We start from the raw sequence: 9,291 nt of genomic DNA on the forward strand, positions 1-9,291 counted from the left end.
TGGTCGAGTTTGTCAACTGAAATGTTCGTATCTTCTGTATTCTTACCATAATTTTGTCAAAAACTCCCTGTTTATTAGTTACTGAGGCAGTTGTATTAAATTGTCTCACTGTGTGATATGGTTTAAATGTTTGTCCCCTCCAAATCTCATGGTGAAATGCCATTCCCAAAGTTGGAGGTGGGGCCAATGGCGGGAGATTGGATGGGGGCCAATCCTTCATGAATGACTTAGCACCTCCCCTTGGTGATGAGTTTGTTCACATGAGGGCTGATTGTTTTAAAGAGGCTGGCCTTCTCTTCTCACTCTTTTACCCCCACTCTTGCCATGTGACATGCTGCCCCCTTCACTCTACCCTCGTCACTTTCCACCATGATTGTAAGCCTCCTGGAGCCCTCACCAGAAGCCAAGCAGGTGTTGGCACATGCTTCTTGTACAGCCTGCAAAACTGTGAGCCAATTAAACCTCTTTCTTCATAAATTACCCAGTCTCAGGTATTTCTTTATAGCAATGAAAAAACAGTCTAATACACATTAATATTTGATTTTATCTACTTATTCCTTTAATGTGTGCAATTTTGCTTTACATATTTTGAGGTTATATATTATATGGATACATATTTAGGATTGTTATATCTTCCTGGTGAGTTGATCACAAAACATCTTTCTTTTTCTTTAAGAATGACTTCTCCACAAAGACTATTTGTTTGTTATTAATACACTAGCTTTTTTTCCATTACTATTTGCATGGTTTATTGTTTGTATACTTTTACCATAAGTCTTTCTGTAACCTTATGTTTTCGATGTCAGATTGTAAGCAGGAAATAACTGGATTTTTTTAAATTTGCATGGCCATCTTTGTTTTTTATAGGAGTCTCTAGTCAATGTAAATTTAATGTAATTACCAATCTATTTGGGTTTAAAGGTAGATTTCTACTCTTATTGAGTTTACTATCCTTACAACCCCCTGTACATTTGCAGTTGAGAATGCTCTCCAAACCTAATTTTGATTTGATATGAAGGATATATGAGAATAGTCCTCAGAAAAAAATGAAGAGAAGGAATTGAAGCCTAAGATGAGCAAAAAATCATGTGATCTGGGCAATTTATGTCTCAGAATACTGAGATCACTTTCTAAAAGATGCATGAAACATTGTCAATGATCTTTCAAGAACTATGGAGAAAGAAGTGCTAAAAGCATAGGACAATATATAGTTTTGATTTTTCATTAAAAAAAAGAAAGATTATTTTCCTCTGGACAGAAATCTTGGAGAAACTTCTAAAATCAATGTCTTAGAATGGTTTGTGAGGCAATCTTCAGAAGAAGAAATGGTGATAATCAAGCCAGAAGATGTTCATTCAAAACATCATGTGAAATTATTTACATTTTCTTTTTGTGAAAGGATAACTAAGCCCACCAAACAGACAGTGATAGATACAATGATTCTGGAATTTAAGCCATCTGACATAATATCCATTGGACAGGCTGGAGAAATTTGGGCATTATGACATTACAATTTGGCTAATTAAAACTGATTAATCAGTGGTTGCTAAATGTGCTGATCAATTTCCTTGGATCCAACCGATTCACCCTTTCAAGCAATCACTTGAATAAATACATAGAAGAGTGCTTATAAGATAGGTGGGTGACATGAAGCTATGAGAGGTGCAATATGTTTTGAATGACAGAACAAGTTTCAAAAGGATCTCTCAAGCCATACTTCATTTATGACAGGTAAAGTCAAGAACTTGAATCCAAATATAAAACTGAGGAGATCGGGCTTAACAGCAGCATGTGCGAAAAGAGTTCTTAAACCCTTTAGGTCCAAGTTGAGAGTAAGTTCAATATGGGGCAGCAGTGCAGTGGAGCTTCCAGAAAGTATTACATATCAAACAAAGAAACAGTGGCAGTGGTCAGATATACTTGTAATGTCAGGTTTATTTCACCCCCTCAGTAATCCCATGACACTCACTGAAATGTGGTATGTCATCAGAATTTTAGAAGCCAGAGTCTTCACAAAGCAATGGAAAACTCCAAAGGCAAAGAAATTCCAAAGCAAAGGAATGTAATTTGGCAGTGTGCTTGATGAATGATCATGGCCTGTGTATCTAGAATACTATCACCAAAGACAAGCTGTTGATATGCTAGAGCAAGATAGGGTTTTACAAAGACTTTCCCATTCCCCTTAGTGAAATTCACAGAAAGTTGCTCATCTGACCGAAAGCAGGGGAAAGAGGAGGAACTGTAAGTCCCTCATGGATAGTGCACTTGGGTTCTTTCTTTATCAAGACTTCCTTTTCCACTAAGCACTTATGTAAATAGTTCAAGGACATAGTTATACATGTAATCCTCTGCAGAGTTTTTTTGTTGTTTTCTCCCTGTCAGAGCAGTTTTTCTAAAAATGAAATTCATAGATCATTTGTCCCTCAAGAGCCAGGAAAAAAAGTGATCTGTGGTCAAATAAGTGGGTACATTTAGTTAACAGTGGTTTTCTATTCTGCTTTTAAATTGAAGATTTATTTGTTATCGAGTAACAAAAGAACATAATTTTTAAAATTAGGTACTACTACAAGCTTACATTTAAAAGGCTCTTCATCCCATTCTTCCCCACACCCAATCCCCTTTGTAGGAGATTTGTCATCTACTATTTTTTAACCTCTCTGGAAGCTTTTAGGAATTTCTTTTTGTTCCTTGAATTCTGAAACTTCACATTGTTGTGCTGTAGTTTTGTTCTTTGTTTTTCCAACTAATACATCAGACACTTTAAACTCTTTTTCTGTTTCTTCTGCTACTTACCATATGCAATCTATATGACACACTTATCTCCTATTTCTTGATCCTTTAGTTTTAGATATCACCTATTGCTGTCTGTGAAACAGGATATTGCTGTACTTTGGATGTTTGTCCCACAAACTTCATGTTGAAATTTAATCCCCAGTGTTGGAGGTGGGGTCTGTTTGAAGGTGTTTGGGTCATGGGAATGGATCCCTCATGAATGGCTTGGTACTGTCTTCTTGATAATGAGTAAGTTGTCGCTCTTCTAGTTCCTGCAAGAGATGATTGTTAAAAAGAGCGTGGGACCTCCCCACTTTCTATCTTACTTCCTCTCTCTTCGTGTGATCTCTGCATACACAGCCCCACTTCTCTTTCCACCACCAGTAGAAGTTTCCTGAGACCTCACCAGAAGCCAAGCAGATGCTGGTTCCATGCTGCTTGTACAGCCTGGAGAACCATGAGCCAAATAAACCTCTTGTCTTAATAAATTACCCACCCTTGAGTATTCCTTTATAGCAACACGAATGAACTAAGACATTATATCCACTTTAGGTGTGTCCCACTCTTCATTTCACTCAGTATACTTATATTGTGATTTGGGTTTAAATAAATATAAGCAGTTTATCTTACTGTGGCTACACAACTATTATTCACAGTTGAGCCACAAGTACTACCTTTCCTTTATTTAAAATTTCTTATATCAACTGGAATTATAAATGACATTTTATGTTTGCTTAGTTTTCTATGTCAGTTAATAATTTACTACTGAACTCTCTAACATAACTGAAACTCTCCTTTGAATTAGTTCAAACATTAAATATTCTAACTGTGTAGCTTTCTTCTTGAAGGCATACCCCTTGGAGCCCTCTGTCCTCTTGTGACAAGCAGTTCTGCTGCTCTCTGGAACAGCTGTAGCCGTGGGACATTCTTGTCATCAACACAATCCTCTTTGCTTCTCTGCTTCCTGGAGCTTAGAACTCTCTCTCTTTCTTGTTTTATTCTGTTTATTTTGCTGGAGCAGATGTTTCAAGGACCTCCTGAACAAGCCTAGGTGAAAATATGTTGAGACCTTAAACGTCTACTAATGTCTTCATTCTAACCTTGCATCTGATTAATAGCTTTTCTGGCTATAAAACTCTAAGTGGAAAAATATTTTACCCCAGAATTTTGAAGGCATTGCTTTGCTGCTCTCTAGCTCCTATCAGTACTATGGGGTTGTCATCCTGATTCCTGATGTATATTCTCATTTCATGAGCATAGTTTCATTGGTGGGCAGAGGACTTGTCCACTGGGCTGTACTCTCAAGTGATGTGGTGGCCATTTCCTTGGAGTATCCCAAACTCTGTCTCTAGGTATTTCTCATGGTCTCGTCAGCATCCCCAGAAATGAATACCCCCATCTCCTGCTTGGGGAGTATAGGCCTGCTGTCAGTATCCTGGCAGCTAAATGTGAAAGAGGGTGTGGAGGTGGACCTCAGTCATCAGTGTCAACTTTCACTGAAACCTTTCCTTTTTGTTTTACCTTCTCCTTCTCATAAAGCTTTCAATACCAGATCCCTCTGGCTCCATTTTCCCAGAGACTAAAACACCCATCTTCTGACACAGTGGCGGAAAGACAGTCATTCTGCTGCATGGGGTAAAGGAGGAGGACACACTGGCTCTAACTGCTACTTATTTTAAGCTTTCAAACCCACTTACTACTTGCAGATTTAACCATACCCCTGGCTTCAGAGGTATCTTGTGCCTTCAGTTTTGAATCTTTGGGAGACTGAGGGTTCAAGTTGATGTGTTTCAGACTTCTCCCCACTGTTTGCTTAGATTTCTTTCTTTGGTCTAGAAATTTTAGATATACATTCTTCTGCTTTGCAGCTTCCAATAAAAATTGTTTTCTTGAGGCAGGGCCTTGCTCTATTCCCCAGGCCAGAGGGCAATAGTGTGATCATAGCTCACTGTAGCCTCAAACTCTTGGGCTTAAGAAATCCTCCCACTTCAGACTCCTGAGCAGCTTGGACTACAGGTGTGTCCCACTATGTCCTGTTAATATTTTTATTTTTTATAGATGGTGTCTTGCTACATTGCCTAGGCTGGTCTCAAACTCTTAGCCTCAAGTGATCGTCTTACCTTGGCCTCCCAAAGTGCTGGAATTACATATGTGAGCCATTGCACCTAGCCAGCTTCCAAGATTTTGATGCCATCTCTTATCTGCACTTCACTTATTTCCTGTCTTCTTTGTACTATGCCTTCTTTGTTTAAAATCCTTTTAACTGACATTTAACAGTAGTTCATGAAAGAATAGATGTAAATATATGACTGTTTAATCCACTATGTTTTTTTTAAAGTTTTTTTTTTAATGTAAGACTTCTCAGAACCTAAAATATGCTCAGTTTCCTTGTGGATATCTGAGAGGGAGATACACTATGCAGTATTTTTATATGAGTTAACATTGCCCCATAACAAACAACCTCTCAATTTCAGCAGCTTATAACACAACAAAGCTCTGTTTCTTACTCACAACACATGTTACCAGCTGCTGGTCATCACGGCTCTGATCCACATGTTTTCTCATTCCAGGTCTCAGGCTGAAAAAATAGCCGTGTTATAGAACGTGCCAGATATAAGAGTAAGAGGAATGGTAGAAATGTCCCAAGGCATCTTAGAGTTTCTGCCTGGGCGTTCACGTTCCATTGGAATATCACATGCCAGACTCAAAGGCGATGGGGCATGGGAGGTCTCTCTCTCTCTCTCCTGCAGGAGGCACTATGCTTCACATGACAATCCTCAGGGATGCGTAATTCTCTTATAAGGAAGTGGGGAGTGGATAATTGAGAATAGGATCACAATCTACCGACATATTGAGTACTTGTTTGAGTATGGAACCCCTTTTTTGTAACAGTTGCTAACAGTTTATGTTTCAGGGAGCATGGCTTAAGAAAATGTTTTATATGTGCACCAAGTATATTGGTAAGGAGGTAGAGTGAGGTAAAGGGGAAACCTCAGAATTTTAAAGCAAAACTTCATTTCAAATGATGGTTCTATCACATGCTTAACCATGTAGCTTTGGGAAATCTAATTTCTCTAAATCTCTTTTCTCTTGTAAAATGGACATAATAATCCCTACTTCTCAGCTTTGATAACAGGATTAGATATAATGTATGTAACGGGTCTGGAGTGCCCTAGTAGGCCATTAGTAAATATTTATTATGGTCAGGCACAGTGGCTCACACCTGTAATTCCAGCACCTAGGGAGGCCGAGGTGGACAGATCACCTGAGTTTGGAGCCTGGCCAACACGGCAAAATCCCATCTCTTCTAAAAATACAAAAAGTAGCCAGGTATGGAGGTGAGCCCCTGTAATCCCAGCTACTCAGGAGGCTGAGGAAGGAGAATCGCTTGAACCCGGGAGGCGGAGGTTGCAGTGAGCCAAGATTTTACCACTGCACTCCAGGCTGGGCAACAAAGTGATACTCTGTCTTAAATTTTATATATATATATATATATATATATATATATATATATATATATATATGTGTGTGTGTGTGTGTGTGTGTGTGTGTTTGTATAAAATAAATAAATGAATAGATGAATGAGTTAATGGCTGAATGAAATATTTTAACTGACAAAAGTGTAACAGCCTAGCCTAGTTGAATTTGGGTTGGCTCTCCAATTTTAAACTTCTGATATCTTGAAGAATTATTTGAGTAACCTATTGATGAATCATAGTAGTTAAAATATTTTAATGTTATAATTGCTTTTAATAGAGTTCCTTCCCAATAAACATTTGCATTCTTCTTCTTGCCAAATTTATATCTAAACCTTGAATCTTCAGGTAGAGTATAAATATAAACTGTTCCCTACATGATCAGAAGTAGATATGTCTCAGCTGATCCAAAGATACCGGGAGACGCCAGGCGCGGTGGCTCACGCCTGTAATCCCAGCACTTTGGGAGGCCGAGGCAGGCAGACCATGAAGTCAGGAGATCAAGACCATCCTGGCTAACATGGTGAAACCCCGTCTCTACTAAAAATGCAAAAAATTAGCCAGGTGTGGTGGCGGGCGCCTATAGTTGAAGCTACTCTGGAGGCTGAGGCAGGAAAACGGCACGGATCCGGGAGGTGGAGCTTGCAGTGAGCCGAGATCATGCCACTACATTCCAGCCTGGGCAACAGAGTGAGACTCCGTCTCAAAAAAAAAAAAAAAAGATACCAGGAGACAGGAATTCCCTGTGTACCTGTGTCACACTGTTGGCAAATGTCCTCAGCTATATGCTATGGACATTTAGAAGCTGTTTCTTAAAATCTACAAAACTAGTGGAAAACATAAAAAAGCAGGGGTTGCAATTCTAATTTCAGACAAAAAAAGACTTTAAACCAAGATAGATGAAAAAAAAAAGCAAAGAAGGGTATTACATAATGGTAAAGTGTTTAATTCAACAAGCAGAGATAACTATCCTAAATATATATGCACCCAACATAGGAGCACCCAGATTCATAAAGCAAGTTTTTAGAGACCTTCAAAGAGACTTAGACTTCCACACAATAATAGCAGGAGACTTCAGCACCCCACTGACAGTACTGGACAGATCATCAAAGCAGAAAATTAAAAAATATATTCAGGAACTAAACTCCACGCTTGACCAAATGAACCTGAGAGACACCTGAAGAAGATCCAAATAAATGCAATTAGAAACAACAAAGGGAATGTTGCCACTGTCCCCACAGAAATACAAATAACCATCAGAGACTACTGTGAATAGCTCTATGCACACAAACTAGAAAATTTAAAAGAAACAGATGAATTTCTGGACACGTACACCCTCCTAAGACTGAACCAGGAAGAAATTGAATCCCTGAACACACCAATAACACTGAAATTGAATCGGTAGTAAAGAGCCTACCAACTAAACAAAGCCCAGGACCAAATGAATTCTCAGCCAAATTCTACCAGATGTACAAAGAAGAGCTGGTAACATTCCTATTGAAACTACTCTAAAAAAAATTGAGGAGAAGGGAATTCTCCCCAACTCATTTTAGGGCTAGTATCATCCTGATGCCAAAACCTGGCAGAGAAACAGCAAAAAAAGAAAACTTCAGGCAAATACCCTTGATGAACATTAATGCAAAAATCCTCAAGAAACAAAACGCTAGCAAACCAAATCCAGCAGCACATCAAAAAGCTGATCCACCATGATCAAAAAAGGCTTAATGTCTGGAATGCAAGGTTGGTTCAACAGTCACAAATCAATAAACATGATTCATCTCCTAAACAGAACTAAAGACATAAAATACTTTACTATCTCAATATATGCAGAAAAAGCTTTTGATAAAATTAAACATCGCTTCATGTTGAAAACTCTCAATAAATTAGGTGTTGAAGTAATATACCTCAAAATAATAAGAGCCATCTATGCAAACTGACAGCCAACATTGTACTGAATGGGAAAAAACTGGAAGCATTCCCCTTGAAAACCAGCATGAGACAAGAGTGCCCTCTCTCCCCACACCTATTCAACATAATGTTGGAAGTCCTGGCCAGAGCAGTCAGGCAACAGAAATAAATAAAGGGCATCCCAATAAGAAACAAGAGAGTCAAACTCTCTCTTTGTAGTAACCTGATTCTATGTCTAGAAAACCCCATAGTCTTTGCCCAAAAGCTCCTTCACTTGGGATACAACTTCAGCAAAGTTTCAGGATACAAAATGGATGCACAAAAATCACTAACATTCCTATACACCAACTGTAGCCAAGCTAAGAGCCAAATCAGGAAGGCAATCCCATTTACAATAGCCACAGAAAAAATAAAATACTTAGGAATACAGCTAACAAGGGAGTTGAAAGATCTCTACAATGAGAATTTAAAAACACTGCTCAGATAAATCAGAGATGACACAAACAAATGGAAAAACATTCCATGCTCATGGATAGGAAGAATCAATATTGTTAAAATGGTCATACTACCCAAAGTAATTTACAGATTCAATGCTATTCCTATCAAATTGCCAATGGAATTCTTCACAGAACTAGAAAAAAACTATTTTAAAATTCGTATAGAATTAAAAAGAACTTAAATAGCCAAGCCGATACTAAGCAAAAATTACAAAGCTGGAGGCATAACATTACCTGATTTCAAACTGTACTATGGGGCTATAGTAATCAAAACAGCATTGTACTGATATAAAAACGCACATCCAGACCAATGGACCAGAATAGAGAACCCAGAAATAAGGCCACACACCTACAACCATCTGATTTTTGACAAAGCTGACAAAAGCAATGAGGAAAGAATTTCCTATTCCATAAATGATGCTGGGATAACTGGCTAGCCATATGCAGAAGATGAAGATGAAGATAAAAGTGGACCACTTTCTTATACCATATACAAAAATCAACTCAAGATGGATTAAAGACTTAAGTGTAAAACCCAAAACTACAAAAACTCTGGAAGATGACCTAGGCAATACAATTCTGAACATAAGAATGGGCAAAGATTTCAAGATGTAGATGCCAAAAGCAGTCACAATAAA

At 38.3% G+C, this 9,291-nt stretch overlaps 1 long non-coding RNA gene across 1 annotated transcript, besides 1 other annotated feature; it reads right to left on the minus strand.

The window, feature by feature from the left end:
• Nucleotides 1–2,495: 2,495 nt before the first annotated feature.
• LOC124903161 (uncharacterized) lies at nt 2,496–4,753 on the minus strand. The gene is made up of 2 exons (XR_007063764.1): nt 3,627–4,753; nt 2,496–3,044 (listed from the first exon to the last, which is right to left on the minus strand). It is a non-coding gene; the product is annotated as an uncharacterized LOC124903161 (long non-coding RNA).
• Nucleotides 2,903–3,022: an enhancer, noted in NCBI's record as "active region_7598". NCBI's record gives its function as "activates an Ori minimal core promoter by ATAC-STARR-seq in GM12878 lymphoblastoid cells {active_cell/tissue: GM12878}" and the evidence as "EXISTENCE:reporter gene assay evidence [ECO:0000049][PMID:35858748]".
• Nucleotides 4,754–9,291: the final 4,538 nt, after the last annotated feature.

The sequence above is a fragment of the Homo sapiens genome, chromosome 13 (genome assembly GCF_000001405.40).
Source record: "Homo sapiens chromosome 13, GRCh38.p14 Primary Assembly".
Taxonomy (NCBI): domain Eukaryota; kingdom Metazoa; phylum Chordata; class Mammalia; order Primates; family Hominidae; genus Homo; species Homo sapiens.